The sequence below is a fragment of the Homo sapiens genome, chromosome 4, assembly GCF_000001405.40.
Source record: "Homo sapiens chromosome 4, GRCh38.p14 Primary Assembly".
Lineage (NCBI taxonomy): Eukaryota > Metazoa > Chordata > Mammalia > Primates > Hominidae > Homo > Homo sapiens.
The window spans coordinates 180,123,235-180,143,347 of record NC_000004.12 but is presented as its reverse complement, the minus strand read 5'-3'; the positions used below and the strand labels follow the sequence as shown (position 1 = coordinate 180,143,347).

General features: G+C 33.9%; 1 long non-coding RNA gene across 1 annotated transcript in view; it reads right to left on the bottom strand.

Annotated features, from left to right (window-relative positions):
- Positions 1 to 20,113, bottom strand: part of LOC124900623 (uncharacterized) — a 49,265-nt gene that overhangs the window by 5,523 nt on the left and 23,629 nt on the right. The gene's annotated exons all lie outside the window — the stretch shown is intronic.

Genomic DNA, 20,113 nt, shown 5'->3' with positions numbered 1-20,113 from the left:
AATCCCACTTCTAGGAAATCTATTCCAAAGACACAATAGCAAAAATAGGAAAAAATACAAGCACAAGGCTATTCATTGCAGCACTATTTGTAATGGCAGAGTGGAAAGAACCTAAATGTCCATCAACAGGGGACTGATTAATAATCTAGTACCTCCACAGAATGAAGAATTGTGAGGCTACAAAATGGAATGAGGTATATCTCTATGTATTACTATGGAGCGATCTCTGGGATATATTGTAAATGAAAAAAAGCACAGTAAAGAAAAATGTGTGTGAAATGAAAGCAGTTATCTATATGTCTTTGTATCATATTATTTATAGTATATAAAATATATATGAAATTTAGACATAGATATAGATATATTTCCAGAACCTTTTCACTTCTAATCACTCCCAAAACTATCACCCAGGCATAAGCCACCATTTTCTTGGGACTGGATCACTATAATAGTTTTTTAAAGATAGTAGAGGCTGCTTCCATTCTTGTCTCTAAGTCCATTCTTAAGACACAGTGACCCTTAAGAGTAGCTTGGATCAAGACAAGCTTCTGCAAAATCCATCTAATGGCTTCCAATCCTCTTCCTGTAGCTTTGTAGACCTCACTTTATCTGCTCTATCCTCCCCCTCTCATGAACTCTGTTTTCTTAGTGTACTTGAACCACAGCAACCATGTTTCTGCCTCAGGGCTTTCACACTTGCTTCTTGCTTTCTACAGTCTTTCCTGCGGCCATCATCATGTCTTTGTCACTCACTTTCCTTTAGTCTTTGGTCAAATATTCTTCTATCTCCGGGACTTCATCACACTATAGAAATATGATCTTTCTCCCTCACATGTATCCCTTGATTTATAGTTGGAATAAAGGAATTCCCTCCTGTCTTATCCTAATTTATACTTTGATTACTTTCCAGACATATTCTCTTATATATCATAGATAATCATACTAATATTCTTCCTTTAAAAATGCAACCACTCTATTCCATAATGTGCCTTTTTATATTACTAAATATAGCAAGGCCATAATTCCAAGTTAATAAATTTTGAATAATATAATTCATTTGAATAGTATTATGATTGTGTTTTGCATGTATATTCCATCAAATAATAATAGTAAGTAAGTTTTTATCTGATTTAGGAGTATTAAAAACAGCACTGCAATGAACATCCTGGTGTATGTGTCCTTGAACAATGGACCAATATTGTACTAATTTCAAATCCAAATACTAGAATTGATTTGATAAATGATATGCATATTTTTGATTTGGATCAAGTGTTATAAAATTAAACCTTTTTAGACAGGAAACACAACTTTATCTTTTAAATCATTACTAATGATGATTTTTTTAATTTAATGTTCTTGAGATTGAATATTTTAGCTGATAGTACTTTTTTTAAGTTTATTACGCAATACCCTATTCCTCTACTCATTTTTCTAATGAGCTGTTGAATATTTTTCATTGCATTGCATAAACTATTTCTATATTTATGTCTATTAACACGTTTTTCTGCTATCACACATATGCAAAGATATATACATATATCTATGTATACGCATTTAAATAAATATCATGTCTACACACATGCAATGTCATTGTCTTTCAAATATATTTATGAAATGTACTACTTTGTCATTCAGAAGTTTCAATTTTTATTAGTCAAATCCATTGTTTTAATTTTAAGCTCATCATTTCTGAATTTTGCTATAAGCACTGTTTTTTACTGGATATTTACCTAAATTTTTTTCTTTGCATATGTTTGCACTCCAGTTTATGAATAATATAAACATAGCATGCACTTAACACTCAAGTTCTCTGGAATTAAGTTGCTATTTGGAGATTCCACATTGTGTACTTCATTTCCCATACCCTTCCCCGCAGTGACTAGACAACTGATTTTAAAGATATATTGAATATTAACTAGAGCCAGTTTCTTCGCTCTCTGGTTTTTTTCTTTTTCTTTTTTTTGTTACTGATTTGCCTCTCTATTCCCATAAGATTTTTCCTTACTATTCCTAAATGTTTACTTTTCCAGACCAGCAGTTCTTAGTGGTATGTGGATACTGAGACTAATATAATCACGTGCTGAGTTGAGAGAAGCTTCTGGAAATCACACATGCTCCTTAGAATTTCTGATATCGTTTTTAGGAATAACTTTTTGAAGTAAGTTTGAAGTTACTGATCTCCAGAGGTCTATTACTTCTTTTTTTGAGTAAATTACAAAGTTTAACAACATGATGCAGATTTAAGATCCATTAATAAAGAAGGGTTTAATGTTTTTCTGTAATTTTGAAAATATAATCTCCATTCATAAGGGTATTCCATATTTATTGCTCATAGATGAAGTTTTCTCCCTTGCTTAAAAAAGTCATGTTACCTGGTGATTAATCAAGTTTTTATCTCTCTCTCTTTTTTTTTTTCTTTTGAGACTGTCTTGCTCTGTCACCCAGGCTGGAGTGTGGTGGTACAATCACGGCTCACTGCAGCCTTGACCCCCTGGGCTCAAGTGATTCTCCCACTCAGCCTCCAAAAGCACTGGTACCACAGGTGTGAGTCAGGGTGCCTAGACTTTGTCACCTCATTAATTTTTAATCTTATCTTTATTGATTTTGTCTTTGAATTCCATTGAACTAATTTATTGCCTTACTTTTTATCAGATTCATTTATTCTTGTTGTTGATGATGATACCAGGGTTAAGTATGTAATGTACCAACTTTCTCAATACAGTCACCTAAATACTGGGGGTATTAGAATATTCAGGTAGGTAAAAATAACAAATATGCATCTTATATTTGGATTGTGTAAAAATTATTTCATTATATAAATATAGAAAATGAAGCTCAACAAAATCTTTAGTTGTTGGGAGGGACAAGCAAAGACATCATGATTTTCAACCAGGCTTTTTCACCTTAGAGCAACATTCCATACAGTGGCGCATGCATAATTGCTTATGTTTATCAAAGTGTGGCATAGACCTTATGTCTGGAGAAGCACTCATTTAAAGCAAAGCATTTCTTCTCTGTATATTTAGATCTTTTTGATAACCATGTATCTGTGTGTAAACATATATTTATACATACATATGAAGCATTCCAGAAATTGCAAGAATAAAAGTTTATGTCTCCACAAAAATTCTTATGTTGAAGCCTAATCACTAGTGTGATAGGATTAGAAGGTGGGGCCTTTGGGAGGTGATTACATTGTGAAGGTGCAGGCCTCACGACTTGGATTAGTGCCCTTATAAAAGAGGCCCCAGAGGCCTTGCTCCTTCTATCATGTGAACACACAGCCAGAAGATGCCATTTAAGAATCAGGAAACATGCCCTCACCAGGAATTGAATCAACTGGTACTTTGATCTTGGACTTCTCAGCCTCCAGAACTATGAGAAATAAATTTCTACTGTTTAGAATCTACCCAGGCTATAGTATTTTGTTATAGCAGCTGCATGGACAAAGGCAAATTATAAATCATTAAAGAGTTTCAAATAAATACATTCGATTATATCAATATTAGATTTTTATAGCAAGTGTTGTTAACTGTAAGACAGAGACGTTTCATTTAATATAATTGACACAAATCCTATAACACAAAAAATAAATAGCCTTGCTTTGTCCATATAAACTCAAGTAACACAAATATTACATCATTACTATCATGAACAAGTTCAAAACAGGCAACGAGAATTAAAAGTGAGAATAAATGCTATATATACAGAACATAGTACATAGAGTGTAGCCATTTAGTATGTTTCTCAACTTACATTTTCCATTTCTATGAAGCTATGAAGCATTAACACATATACAGAATATATGTGAATCTATTGAGTATAGTACAATTAAACTAATATAAAATTCTATCAAGAGAATTCTTATTCTACCCTTGTTCATTCTGCTGTGTCTTATAATGGCACATCTCTATGTCTGAATATTATATAATATAATGCTCTATTTTTTAAAATGTGGATATCTGATGTATTTTTGTTTGTTTCTTTTGATAACTGCTATTTCATCATTTTATTTTTCATTCATGAATGCAAAATGTCCTCGTTACACATAAATGTAAACAGTTAAACTATGAGGTATGTAATTTTACAATAGTTTTTAAGGAGGAAAATTAATTTTTAAAAAAGTTCCATTTCCGTGTTATGGCATACCATAAAAATAAATCTAAATACCTTTAATTAGTGTAGTGGTAGAAAATTATTTAAAATCACCTAAACAAAATGTAACTGCTATAAAAATAATCATGCACAAACTCTAATTTATTAAATATTAAGTTGAATAAAATTGTATTGACATTATAATTAAAAACACATTAAAAATACATATAAATAAAACAAGGAATAAAAAGGAAATGGAAATAAGAAAGTTAAGTCACTAAGATGGAGAACGTGGGAATTTTTTTCTGTCATTTTTGTTACTTCCTATAATATTTGATTGCTATTTGTATAATGACAAAAATTTCAAAAATTGTATTTAGAACTGGATTCTCAAAACAGGTTGGCATTGAGTTTTTATTTCTGTGAACTTGTTGACAAAACTTCCAAAGTTACTGGTTGCAGCACCCCACCCCCACCCCACACACACACACAGTCACAGAGAGGCCCAAAGTGTCACCATGAAGTATAACCAGAAGAAACAATTGAAAGTAATAGCTATTATCTTTACACAAACTCACAGATGTGTACAGACGCACACAAAAGAATTTGAAAACCACAACAACAAGATCAAATTGTTACATCAAATACTCATTATGTCTTTTTTATAGGCCAGATGTATTTTAAGCTGGTACATACCTAATTAAACCTACAAGAAAGGCTTAATTAAGACTATTTGAATTCATTCCATTCTGCTAGCGTTGCATCTGTTGGTAAGATCAAAGCAAGAGTGGCAATTTTGTTTCTACTGACAGAAGATATGTGTGTGTGTGTGTGTGTGTGTGTGTATACATACATATTTCACAACACAAGTACTGAATTGATGTATATATTTCAATTTAAGTGTTCCCCTAAAGTAAACATGGTTCTGTGTTTCTGGAAATTATTATGTGCATATCATGTGTAAGCCTTGGAATTTCTAACAAATATTTAAATATTTTATATATCATAAATAATACAAACAAGACAAAAGTAATATGGACAATCTAGGCCTTTTCCTTAAAACATAGCTCTTTCTTTTCTATTATTCCTAAAAATTTTCATATCCTAATAAATCTGTGTTTGATTTATTTTCTTAATAATGCCATTTTTCTCTTACTGGTTCACTCTATGCGAATTCAAATTTCAATAATATAATTCTAAATGGAATCTGTTTCACAAAATCAGATTCCATTCTCTACTTAAAACTCTGCTCATGACAACCTTTCGCTGGGGAGAAAAAACTCTGGTAGTAATAATTCATTTTATAATGATTTCTTTGTTTTCATGATTTTTATTTCTTCAAAGTAATATGCAAACTTCTTACATCCCACATTCTTCATACTTAGAAACAGGATGTAACTATATAGTGAAATGTTTTAGAATATATTTCATGTTGTTTCCAATCTTGACTACAAATGGAAAAGCCATCATACAATTAATTGCTATCAAACAGTACCTTCATTATTACCTATCTACCTATAACAACCTCAGTAAAACTATAATAGCTTTAGGTAAGCAGCATTCATTCTGGATGAAAAGTTGTCAGCTGCAATATGGTGGGTTTCATCTGGAACATGATGGGTTGTAAATACACACATAACCACAATTTTTCAAATCTAAGACCAATATTTCTTTTCATTTTAACATGTTTTAAATTAGTATACATACTACAATGGATTTCCAAAGAAACTTGCTGGCCATTTCTGTCTTTCTCCCAGGAAAGCTGATATTAGATCAATGGTATCTTTGACACATATTGACATCTTAGAACTGAGAAAATAGAGTATAAGCTATGGATCTCAAAATGGCTGATGCTAGCAATAGCATAACAGTATATTAACTCTACTACCACTAATTATTTTATTTTCTTGAATGTGTCCATATTAAGGATAGTTCAAACATTTATAATATGGGTTATTTCACTAGGAATTGTTATTTTTTTTAAGGCGTACCTCTTATCAACTGTAGTTAGTGGAAGGATATCAAAACAATTACCTCCCAAAGCAAATGTTATCTTAATGCAAAGTATCCACATAATGAATCAACAAACTCTGCATAACAAAACTGCTTTAGTTATGGGAAACTTAAACAGATTCCAGGATTATATATATTACTTATTTTTAATTGCTTACACTAAAAGCTATTAACATTTCTAGTTTTACTTTCAAATTGAAACTGGTGTTAAAGCACAAATATTAGCTTATTTACATGTCAAATATGAATTATACTAGCAAATACACCACACTAATCAAACCTGTTACAGAAAGAAAAATACTATATTAGCGCTGTATCACTTAGGTGGTAGAATTAATTTAAAAGAATAACCAAATGAATGAAAATCTTAAGAGTGATTGAAAAATATGCAAGAAAATATACATAGCTGAGTTAACACATGATACTACCTACCACTTTTTAAAAAGTAAACTATCCAAAACTTCACTGAAAGAGCTATAATTTTATTAATAAAATATTCATTACTAAAATCTTTGCTCATTTAGAGAATGTTTTCGCTATTTATCCTCATAGCTTATTTAAAATACATTAACATGGCTTACCGATAATTTTAATGGACCAGCTGTGTTGGCTCACAATTTATTTTTAAACTTACTATATCCAAAGTAGTTTTTGTTTTTATACTATGCTGCTTGTTTCTTTACCTCTGAATGAGCATTGGAAGCATGTGGACAGGAAGTCTGCTCAATGAGCCAGTTTTTCTACATGATATCAGGCATTTAAAAATTTGAAAAATCAACTTTAGAAAAGTAAAAAATTAAAAAAATCTGCATAAAATTAATCACAGAGTTTTAATACACTATCTGGAAGATGTCGAGACCACATATCCAACAAACATATCTATTACTTTTTAATTTTCATTACAAAGCAATTGTTACCATCAGGTCCACAGTGACATGATGGTACTGTGTAAGGAAGCAGCCAGGTCGGCTCTGCCTTCCTGTAATTCCTGTGGACATGCATACTGCAAAACTCTGCTCTTCACTAGCACCTCTTTGGTTCTCTTATCACTGTTGCATTCCAAATAAATGTTGCTTAAGGTCACAATCACAACCTCTTTCGAATTCAAGAAACATTTCTACTTCCCTTTCTTCCATGGATGGGATTCAATGGCGGCTTTAGTTGTGAATATATGTTATCATACATTTTTATGGTAGCAATCAAAACACATTATGTCAGAAATGGAAATAAAAACAAGATTTCCAGTTTCTACATCCGATAGGCTAAATTATGTTTTCCTCTTTCCATAATTCTAGCATTTTCTGGAAGATTTAAGGGGAAATATTTTTTAAACAAGGAACTATTTAAAACTATGTTTAAAAAATTTTTAAGTGTCTGCATGTCATAATTTCCAGTGGATCTCACGCAATCTATCCAACGACTATACAGTGGAAATAAATGATATAATTTGAATCTCTCTACTTGAGCAGGGTAAAATGGAAGTCATAGTGAAGTTAGAAAGAAATTATCCCTTCAGTAAAGAATATTGGGATTGCTACTAGAAAAAGTACTATAACACAAAAGATAAATAAAACACAGGCAAGGCAGTGGTGGCAGGGAGAAACCAGGTATATTAATACAAAGACAAAAATAAATTATATGTGCATAAAGTTTAAAACAAATAATGGGGTAAATCCTATGGATTACTAGGATTATTTTTACAATCAATGTTTACTGAAGAGATACCCAATTCTAGCAATATTGTAAGTGATTAGTTACTTACAATGGGATACAATGCACAGTTCTGTTCTCTAGGCATATAATCTCTTGAGAAGGTTAAGGAAAATCTATCTGTCTATCTATCGATCATCTATCATCTATCTATCTATCTAATCTATCTATACACATAACTGCAATATGAAGCACTTGTTTACAAAGTAAGTTTAAAAATATATTGTTAACTCTGGGTGCAAACAAAAAAATCAGCTATAAAATTATTCACAATTACACCAGGTCTACATAATTCTCTTACATAAAACAAGTCTTCTTCAACATTGTCAGCCATCATTATCTTTTTCAGTAATTCTGAAATCCTACAACCCCTCTTGCTTTGTTTAAAGCCCTAATCAAATAATGCTCTTCTGTAACTGGGCTACTCACTTCAATATATTGTCTATTAACAGCAACAACAAAACTCTCCAAAATGTATACATATATACCTTTGAGTTCTGCAATTTAAAGTCGAAAGTTAATGCCTTTCTGTGGTGTTTTTTATACTTCTTCTTGCAAAACAAAGCCCTGATGTGTATCTTAAATTTACTTGCAAGTATCATGTTATAAAACTCAGTATTCCCGGCTTTTCATTTTCTTCAAATCCTTATCATTCAGTAAATTACACATGATAGACAAAATTTCAACACCAACCAAACAGTAATATCCACAATTTTACCCATTAATACTAGCAAAAATACGATATAATTTGGACTTCACTGGATTGAAAACATAATAAAATGAAGACAAAATCTGATCACTCCTGAGCTATGAGGAAATGAACCATGGAAATGATCATGTGGGGAAATCCAGTTGCATGCTTAGGCATGTGTGAAATTTGTCAGCAAGGTGAGCATTCAGTAAATTTTCAGATAATAAGGTACATGGCATGTGTGAAAGGACAATCTATTAACAGGACAACCTTTAAAACACAAATATAACTACTTGCTGTTCTCTACTAGCACAAGAAGTGAGTGGTGGTTCTGGTAACGGTCTGTGAAAGGGTCACCGAGGAAAGGAAAGGGCTGCTGAGAACGGTCTGCAGTGCTTTTGTTTCCTTGCTTCCATGGACGACAGGTTGAGTGGGGTGGCAACAGTATGAAAGCATTTCGAGTGTGACAGACTCTTGATCAGTCTCCTCCTTTTACCCTATCAGGAGTAACTTTACAGATATACATAAATCAGAGTACAACAGGGAGCCCTTGTTCGCCAAGCATGTTGAGCGCTCCCGGGGTGACATGCTGTGGAGGACTTGCTCCAACTCAGACTGCTTCCGTCTGATAGAGAGATTTATTTCCTGACAGCTGACAGAGTGCCCTGCAATAGCTGACAATCCCTGGTGTGGCTGGATCAGTAGCTCCAGGAAGAAGTTCTCTGAACTCTCTGAAGCTGCGAGTTTTGCTTTTACGTAAAAAATGACTATTTCAGTACTCTGAAAGATCTAAGTGGCTTATTCTTTTATCTTTTAGAAATTCAAACCACTCCTCTTTACCTTTAAGCATAAAACTTCCCTCATAGCTGTGTTCCTTATGTCTTTTTAACCTGCTGTTTTCTTTTGTGCCAGAATCTGTTTCACTGAAATAAAGCTAATGTCAAGCTAGGCATTCCCATTCAGGATTGTAATTCTAAGGTGATCTTCCAGTATAGTGTGAAAGAGCTGATCAAAATCTGGACTAGACAATTTTGCCAATGAATTCTTACTCCATAGCTTATTTGGAGAGATGCAAACTTGTTCAAAAGAAATATCCAGCTTAATCCCTTAATTACCAAATATTAATAAATAAGCTAAAAGACTGATGTAATATCTACAAACATTTCATAAAATATAATACTTTTTTAAAAAATCTCTAAATTTTTCTTTTTATCTGAATGAACCTAATTGTACTGCATAACACAGAGAAATTTTGGATGTTGTATCTTTACTGAATTAGAAACAGTTGTGGTCATATTTCTTTATTGAGGAAGATTTATGTAAATGAATTGCAGATTTTATTGTTATTTTTAAATTTTTACTTCTCTAGAAATACAGTGATAGTAAAAGCAAAAGCTAATGTCGTCTCTTCCAGTCATTTTAAACTGTGATATACTTATTATTACAATGATTACTTTAAAATACATTCTCATTGCATGAAAATTACATTTTTAAAGATGTTTGTATTCCATACTAGAAAAAAAAACAGTAACACAGGGATACGTTAGTGCCTTAAAAGGGTCATAACATTTTAGATTTCAAACATTATTTTGAGACTTTTCTGTTTCATCTTCCATAAACAGTGAGAATGCTGGGTGCAGGTATCAGTGATTGCTCAGTGCTATACCAGATTTTAGTGTTCAAACTGAGATGTAAATTCTAGTCTACTGACCTGTGCTTTGTTTTCTGTTTTAAATATTTCATTTACAAAAGAGACATATTTGCTACGCTTAAACCTGGACTATTGTCTCTTTCAAACATCTGATTACTACTGTTAAGTAAATGGAGTCGCTGTATTGCAGCTCACTTTGAGGAAAATCATAAGCAAAGGATACTTCCTACTCCAGATATCTGCTGCTAACTCTGGTCAAAGTAGTGGAGCCAGTTTTGTCTGATCTCTCCCATATTGATTACATGCTGTTTGGTCTTCTTTAGTGTTTTTTTTTTTACCATAATTGGCTTTTATTCAACTTTTTTATTACTGATGACAGAGTATAATAGTCAATATAATGATATGTTGTATTGTTAGAATCTTTACAGCCATGCAAAGACAACCTTTGTTAGATAAGACATGCACATATTTAATACAAAATACTGATGAAAATAATAAACTACTGCTATTGCTACTCCCACTCCATATCTTGTTTGGGGTGTCATGTGAGCCAATTCATAGGAAACACTTTGGAGATAGCTCTTTGGACAATAATACTTTCACTCTAATTTGCCACTGACATTTATTTTGTCTTATGACACAACAGTCACATCATCATGACAAAAATCTCAACTAGTGTCTATTTTGCATCCTGATAGCTAGGATGCTTTCGTATTGGAATAACAAAAGAAAAGAAAATGGTGACACTGAATAGAACATGAAAAAGGATCTATCAGATATCCTGATTAGGACTAGTAGAGTTAAAAATCTGAAAATGAGTGCATATATATATATATATATATATATATATATATATATACCCCATTTGATATTCTGTATTTCCTCAGTATTTCTTAATCAAATAGAGTCTTGATTCTCTTTGAGAATGCTGTATAAAGGCTTGTGTCTGCATGCATGTGTGTGTGTGTGTTCACACATTTTCTTTCCAAGATATGTACTCCCACACTGGGACTTTTACATGTTTGTAGTTATAATTTACATAAAATTTCCCTGTTCATTTGCTACTTCACTTCACACAGAATGAAAATGAAATAAATCTAGACCTAGATAATTACAAAGTTATTTATTCACATGATCAAAATTCATATTAGTATTGTTATGTCTTTTTCTTTTTTCATTTTCATATAGTTATTTCTTTCTTCCAAAAAAGAAGAAAATTCTAAATTTTGCAAATAAAAGCACTAAATAAATCCTACACATTTTATTTTGATATCTTGAAGGGAAGCTGAAGACTATGTCTTGATAACATATATTCCCTCTCTGGTAGTCATGTGTATTACATGTTTTATTACAAATGTAAGAGAGCTATATAATTGATTTTGCACAATCTCAGTCTACAAAGATAACCATTATTAATGTTTTGATACATCATGACACATTTGACCCTAAACCCTGAAAAGCATGGATGATGTATATTTACACAGTTACAGTTGGTGTTTTTAAATAAAACTGGAATCGTACTCTTTAACAGTGCTGTACCATCATTTGTCTCTTTTAACAATATCATTTGATCGGTTTTGACTTTTCATTTTAATATGTACAATTTAGAAAACACTGACTATAAATCCCATGTTACTAAAAAAACAAAATCAAAAAACAAAACTGGGGTTCACATCGGTCACGTTGCTAAAGGACCTTAGTCTCATACAAGAAGCCACTAGGTATCCAAGTTGGAAACCAAACACCATTATTTCTTTTGTCACTAGTTCAAGGAATCGTACTCAGCAAGTTCTTCCTTATTGTTCTTATCTGTGTCCATAAGAATTGTGAATTTATATTTTGCATTTAAAGTCATTTAAGAATTTATATGCAGACTTATTTACAGAATTTCAAGGTGTCTTCAGAGTCTGTCTGTAAATAAATAGACAAGTATTTACTGATTTTAATCCTGGCTTACATGACGGTTAGTGTTGCTAACACTGGGAAGTTTGAACTGACATCTTTATCTCATCTCTTCTTACACAATGGCAGTTTGGTCAGAGGAGTGTATATTTGTCTTCCATAAAATGATGACCCAAATGGCTTTAAATAAGGATGATTTACCTTCTTATTTAAACAAATATAGCTTGCATCATGTAGGTAAAATTTATTCTCTTTTTAATAGCCTGAGAACTATACTGCAGTTTTTTTTTTTGTTCTTGTTTTTGTTTTTTTCTGAAAAAGCAATTTTATTTTCAAATTTTAAGAAGGTGATCCAAGATTGTTTTCTTGAAAGGCTTATATAGTTGATTATATCTTTAATTCTTAGCAAAACCCTTAAAATGATCCTAATATTAAGTACATTGACAAATTTTAGGTAAACAAAAAAAGTCTTTAAGAATTTTTTATCAGAATATCGAATGGAAAGGTAGCTCCTGTAAAAATCATGATTCAGAGTTGAAGCTTCCTACTTTATCAAATAACCAAAACCAGATATTATGTCAAGCCTGTAATGGTTTCCAATGCACACAACAATTTGAGATTTTTCTTTCAAATGATGTTTCCGTCAGTAAAGTAACATTTCTATTTAAAAATAAAATCAGTGATCCCTGAAGTTTTCAAAATGGGCTCCCAAAGTATTATTCTTCATTGATTGTGTCGGTATGAATAACTGATAGATGTTAGTAGTTCTTTCATTTACTTGTTGAATGGAAATTGTGTAGCTTTTATTTCTCTTTGATATTCAAAATAGTAGATGAAATGTCATTGATCTGGGATGAATGTAATAGTTTGAATGAGGCATTTATTTTTCAAATTTTCTTTGTCTCACCCCCAGGGATTGAGGAACTGAATTTTTTCCAGGACACAAAGAAACCAAGGTATCTCAAATTGTTTGTGATTTTTTTCAAAAGCTTATTACAATAAGCAACCCTGCATAATACTTAATGATACACATTTTGTTTTGGAAAATCCACACATCAAAACAATAAGGTTCTAGACATTTTAGACCAGGTCTTTTCTATAAGAAATTCATACCTTTCAGACTGGGCACAGTGGCTCACACCTGTAATCCCAGCACTCTGGGAGGCTGAGGCAGGTGGATCACTTGAGGTCAGGAGTTCGTGACCAGCCTGGCCAACATGGCAAAACCCAGTCTCTACTAAAAATACAAAACTTAGTCAGGCATGGTGGTGCGTGCCTAGTAATCCCAGCTAATTGGGAGGCTGAGGTAGGAGAATCACTTGAACCCGGGAGGTAGAAATTGCAGTGGGCCAAGATTACACCACTGCTCTCCAGCCTGTGCAACAGAGCAAGATTCCAGAAAAAAAAAAACAAAAAAAAAACGTACCTTTTAATGCACTTTTTCATTAAACTGTTTTGATGTGAGAGAATTAAAGATTTCCATGAAGTCATAAGAAATAATACCAGAGATTTTATGTAACTTTACCTAGATTTTCCCAACAGTAACGTTTCACAAAACTTTGATTCATATCACAACCAGGGTATTGACTTGTAAACAGTAAAGATAAAGAACATTTTCGGCTGCATAAATGTCTTCTTTTGAGAAGTGTCTGTTCATGTCCTTCACCCACTTTTTGATGGGGTTGTTTGTTTTTTTCTTGTAAATTTGTTTGAGTTCATTGTAGATTCTGGATATTAGCCCTTTGTCAGATGAGTAGGTTGCGAAACTTTTCTCCCATGTTGTAGGTTGCCTGTTCACTCTGATGGTAGTTTCTTTTGCTGTGCAGAAGCTCTTTAGTTTAATTAGATCCCATTTGTCAATTTTGGCTTTTGTTGCCATTGCTTTTGGTGTTTTGGACATGAAGTCCTTGCCCACGTCTATGTCCTGAATGGTAATGCCTAGGTTTTCTTCTAGGGTTTTTATGGTTTTAGGTCTAACGTTTAAATCTTTAATCCATCTTGAATTGATTTTTGTATAAGGTGTAAGGAAGGGATCCAGTTTCAGCTTTCTACATATGGTTAGCCAGTTTTCCCAGCACCATTTATTAAATAGGGAATCCTTTCCCCATTGCTTGTTTTTCTCAGGTTTGTCAAAGATCAGATAGTTGTAGGTATGCGGCGTTATTTCTGAGGGCTCTGTTCTGTTCCATTGATCACATGAAAAAATGCTCATCATCACTGGCCATCAGAGAAATGCAAATCAAAACCACTATGAGATATCATCTCACACCAGTTAGAATGGCAATCATTAAAAAGTCAGGAAACAACAGGTGCTGGAGAGGATGTGGAGAAATAGGAACACTTTTACACTGTTGGTGGGACTGTAAACTAGTTCAACCATTGTGGAAGTCAGTGTGGCGATTCCTCAGGGATCTAGAACTAGAAATACCATTTGACCCAGCCATCCCATTACTGGGTATATACCCAAATGACTATAAATCATGCTGCTATAAAGACACATGCACACGTATGTTTATTGCGGCATTATTCACAATAGCAAAGACTTGGAACCAACCCAAATGTCCAACAATGATAGACTGGATTAAGAAAATGTGGCACATATACACCATGGAATACTATGCAGCCATAAAAAATGATGAGTTCATGTCCTTTGTAGGGACATGGATGAAACTGGAAACCATCATTCTCAGTAAACTATTGCAAGAACAAAAAACCAAACACCGCATATTCTCACTCATAGGTGGGAATTGAACAATGAGATCACATGGACACAGGAAGGGGAATATCACACTCTGGGGACTGTGGTGGGGTGGGGGGAGGGGGGAGGGATAGCATTGGAGATATACCTAATGCTAGATGACGAGTTAGTGGGTGCAGCGCACCAGCATGGCACATGTATACATATGTAACTAACCTGCACAATGTGCACATGTACCCTAAAACTTAAAGTACAATAAAAAAAAAAAAGAACATTTTCATCATCACATAGATCCCTCATGTTGTCTTTTGTTGTTAAACTCCTTCTCTGCCTCACCTCCCGTTCCTGATTCCTGAAGACCATTAATGTGTTCTCTATTTCCATAATTTTGTCATTTCGAGAATATTATACAATGGAATCACAGAGTATGTACATTTTGGGGACTTTTTTTTTCATCCAGGTGCAATGCCCTGGAGATTAAATAAAGCTGTTGTGTTTTTCAGTAGTTTATTATTCTGTAATATAAAAGATTCCAGAATATAAAGGTACCAGTTTATTTAACCCTTCATCTGCTGAAGGCTTTCTTGGACATTTTCAATTTGGGGTTATTACAAATAAAGCTGCTCTGAATATTCATGTATGGGTTTTTGTGTGAACAGTTTTCATTTCTATGGGGTAATGCATTTTTATAATGCATGGCTATCCTTTAGTTTTGTTGGATTCATATTTCCTCTGATATTACTATTTCCATGAAAAGAACATGCAGCTTCTCATCAATGATGAAGTAATACCACAGGTTTATCACCATGGTTTCTTAGTCACAACAAGGAACACTGATTTTCTGTGATTAAAACTGAAAGGTAATATGTTGAAAAGTTTTAAGGTGGCTCCTGTAATCAGCAGGCAGGAGAACTGGGTTTTCAACTAGGGTGGAAACGAGAAATGCTAGGTAACAACCAGGATCATAGCAAAAACCTAACAAGAAATATGACAAAGACACTACAACCACAATCACAATGACAGTGGCCTTTACATCTTACATAGATGCCCAAAACTCTGCAAACCACTGAACAGTTATTCTTATAAATTAGATAATTCTCTCAACAGTTCTGCTATTGCCAGAATGAATCCCTCATTATCAGTAGCACGCAGGTTTATATATCTTAGATATCCTACAGAATGTCCACCAAAATCTGGAAGCCCAGCGTAAATAATGTATTGTATTTATGATGTATTTATGATGCTTTTTCTGATTCACAATTGAATTGATGACTTTAAACTTAAAGTTCCTTTATTGAAGAAATATATTCAGATTAAAGAGAAATACATTGGTCATATGATATTAAAATGTAACTTACATATTGTATAAAAGTAAGTTCGTTCTGTTTTGAATGCACTTTTGAATGCACGGTATTCCTCTCTATCAATCAATATACATTATGAATAAACTGGCACAGCTATTGATATTTGTGTGTTTAGTCTCATTTTTATTGACTGCTTTATTGCAAAGAGTGTAGCAAGACATCAACCAGGCCATCGTAACATTTTGAAAGTTCCAAAAACTGTTTCATCTACCTGTCCTTTAGATTCCCTTTCCTCTTACCTCCTCCATGACCTTTTCCAACAATTATGTGTGCTGCCTTTATATTTTTAAAATGATGATCCATCTGTTCTCATTGTCTCCACTTCCAGACCTCCCAGTAATTTCTAAACTGCTAAAGTCTGGTTTCTGACCCTTCTATGACCCTTCCATTCTACTGAAATCCTTCTACTACCTCTAAATTGACAAATTACTCTCATTTTTCTTTATACCTCTGCATTGTCTAACTGGTTAATCACTCACTTCTTAAACAACTCATTTGGCCTGTTAAACACCACTCTCTCTCTCTCTGGTCTTCTTAACAGTCCTCAAACTAATTATTCTCAGGCATATTTTCAGTTTTCTATTCTTTTATTTCTTAAATGTAGGTGTTCCCATGGGTTTCACTTTAAGTTTCCTCTCTTTTCTTCTATACAATGTTCCTAGATAATCTCATTCATCACCGGTGATCTACTCTGACCTACTAATAATCTATAGATTATTAGTAGGTCATAAATCTATGTATCTGTTCAAATTTCTTCTATAGTGCCAATGAAAGTAACAAAAAGTAACAAAACCTATAGCCTCTGCCAAAAAAAAAATACCTCTGGGCAATGTCTCATATGCTTTTCATAGATTATCACATCCCATTCTCACGGGGACAGTATATGCTATTGTAACTCTGTCAATGTGATAGATGAAGACACGAAGGCTTAAAGACATTATTAACTAATTACCCAAAGTTACACAAATTTGAAGTGGTCAGGTTGGGAGTTGAAGCAGGCGGTTGTCTCCAGGAGCACAACTAAACTCTATGTTAGGTTCCAAACATGGATTTCAAATGGTTTAGTGAGTATATAAATGTTCCTCAGATACTTACAATTAAAAATCATACAGGAAATGTATTTCCCTTGAAATTTGTTTTTTCTATTCAATTCCTTAATGGTGCATATCCCTCTCAATCCTCATAAGCAGAACCCCAGGTTTTATTTTAAATTCCTTCCTCTGGCTCACTCCCACATCTAAACAATCAGTAATTCCAACTGAATTCCGACTGCTGAATGTGTATTCAGCCTCTCTATGGCTCTCCTTCTGTAATACATTTTCTTGTTTCAGGATCGTTATCATCCCTCTCTGGAATATTACAAGTCTTCCGAAAGAGATCTGCCTTGCTCCAATCTTTCTTATCCTGTGGTCAGCGTAGAACTTTGCTGAAATACTTACCTAATTATATGGTTATTCGCAGCATTAAATCAAATTTATTTGCATTACACGTATCTCTGCCTTACCCCTCCCCTTTCCTCCACTCTCTTTCAGACTCTATATTCTATATATTTTGATGTCGTTTAACTTTTTAGCAAGAATCATTTTTTCTCAGCCTCATTTGTATTTTTGCACTCAGTAGTCCTTCTGGATTCAGTTTATCATCATCTCCTCTGGAAAGACTTTTCTGACCACAGAAGCCGTGATTGACCTTAGCCCCCCACTGTGCTCCTTTTTCCATTTGAGATTTCTTTTATCTTACAAAGGCAGCATGAGATTTGAAGCCCAATACACTTGCTTCAGATACCCATTTTCTATTTGTGAGATCTTGAAGAATTTACTTAAACTATTTGTATTACAGCTTTCATATCTATAAAATGATTGCACTTTACATCTACATCAAAGTGCTGATGTGAAAATACTAGTAATATAAATAGTACTTTTACATAGTATAAGTATGCCAAAAATGCTAGCTAGTACAAAATTATCTCTCTAGTTTGTTAGAAGCTAGACAGTTAATTTTTTATCTCCCCCACTACAATGACTGTAGCTTTTTAGTACTCTGTTGAATTCTCCAGCCCATCATATAGTGAGTATTTGACCATTTTTAATGCACAAATGATGTTTTAATATAAATGATTTCAAGTTATGATTACTCATAAACTTGCATAAATCTATTATTATCCAAAACATTAACATGTTCTATTATATGTCTTTATTCTTAAAATGCTAAAATCCGAAATAAAATGGTTTTTAGAAATAATTGGTACACAGAAGCCAGCCATACCAAGGTTTGCTGGCAACAGAAAGAAGAGCAAGTACCAATACCATGGGGTAGGACAACTCAGCAGGCTCAAGGAATGTGAAGAAGATCAAAAATGCAGGAGAAGACAGAATCATAGGGACAGAGTGTGCACAGGTCAGCAAAGGCCTAAAGGTAATAGGCTGGAAGAGGGCTCCAGGTTTAATTAAGGAGCAATGGGATGTCTTGGAGGACCAGGGGTAGACATCCACTGTGTAATTCCTCCGTGGAGAATGTGCTGTAATGGAGGGGGTCAGAAGCAGAAAGACAAGCCAAGATGCTATTGCGGTGATTGGGGGAAGAAGTATTGTAGGGATAAAACAGAATTGACAAGAGTGCACAGCTTCTCTTCACTGTATCACTCAGCTGGGACAAATTTTTTCAGAGCATCAAAATTTCTTTTCATTACATTATTTGTTAACCAATATTTAATCAATGTCTGCACTCTGTGTGTTGGGCATTATTTGGGGTGCTAGAGACACAAGCAGCAAAAATAGGCCAAAAAAATGGACCTTACGGAACTTTCATCCTAGTAGGGGCTGGGAAAATAGGTAAACAAAAAAAACCTAAATAAATGAATGAAATAATATATTTGACAGTGACACATTCTTAAAAAAAAGGCCAGAAAATGCCATGGTAAGTGAAATACTGGAATTTCAATAGGCTGAACAAAGGAGACCTCAGTGTATCAGACTTGGTTAGACGTAGACACCAAGTCGGGAAGACATCTTGAGGAAGAACATGTCAGATCTGCAAATGGAAAGAAATACTACAAGATATTCTAATCTGGGTTTCTATTGGTGGTTTTGGAGAGTAATGATTTGAGTTTCTCTGATGACTCGCAAACTTGTTGCCCAAATTTGCCATGCTCCCATGGCTGAAAACAGATCAGTGAAACTGGAAAGCCCAGGCTCATACTTCCAGACACGCTGAATGAATGCTTCCTCTCATGCACCAACCCTCAGGTGCTTTCTACTACTCCACCCTGTCTATCACACTGACTTCAAAAGAAGCTGCAAGGACTACAGTATCAGTAGTACAACATAGTTTTGACTCTCCTTGACATTCCACGATGTGAACTTCTGCACTCAGCTTACAGAGAGAAAGCACCCGGTATGTGAATCCTTAGAGATGATAGGAAAGAAAACAGTTTGAGAGGTCAACATGGTCACATATTTGAAGGCAGACAAAACCAAGAGAAAATAACCCCCTGAAATATACCCAATAAACAAGTCCATTCTCTTTGGTCATTTGTCCCCTGTCCCTGTTTCCCCTGTGAGTTGTGGCTATTGCTCTACCAGATGCTTGTTGTGTTTGAGAGAATTATGGTTTCAGCAAAGCACCAGGGCTATTAAACCAGTTGCCATAACCTCCAGCCTTGTTCTTACATGGTTCCTGCACAAGTCAGATCCCTACAGACACTGCTATTTCCATGAGGTGCTTGATGCTGCCATTACCCTGCAGATATTCCACTCCACACTGCAGTCTGCATTACTAAGTTACAGAACACGGCAGCCACCTGCCAGTGGTCATCACTATGTCTCTGGCTATAGTTAGTCCCTGATCTCTTCTGCTCTTGGTATCTTGATGCTACCATTCATGATTTGAGTCATGAATGCCTTTAGATAAGTTATTTATACAGCAGCTTTTAGATAAGTGCTTGAGGAAGACCTGCTCTGTCCTCTTTCTTTATTTAGAGGCATCCCAAA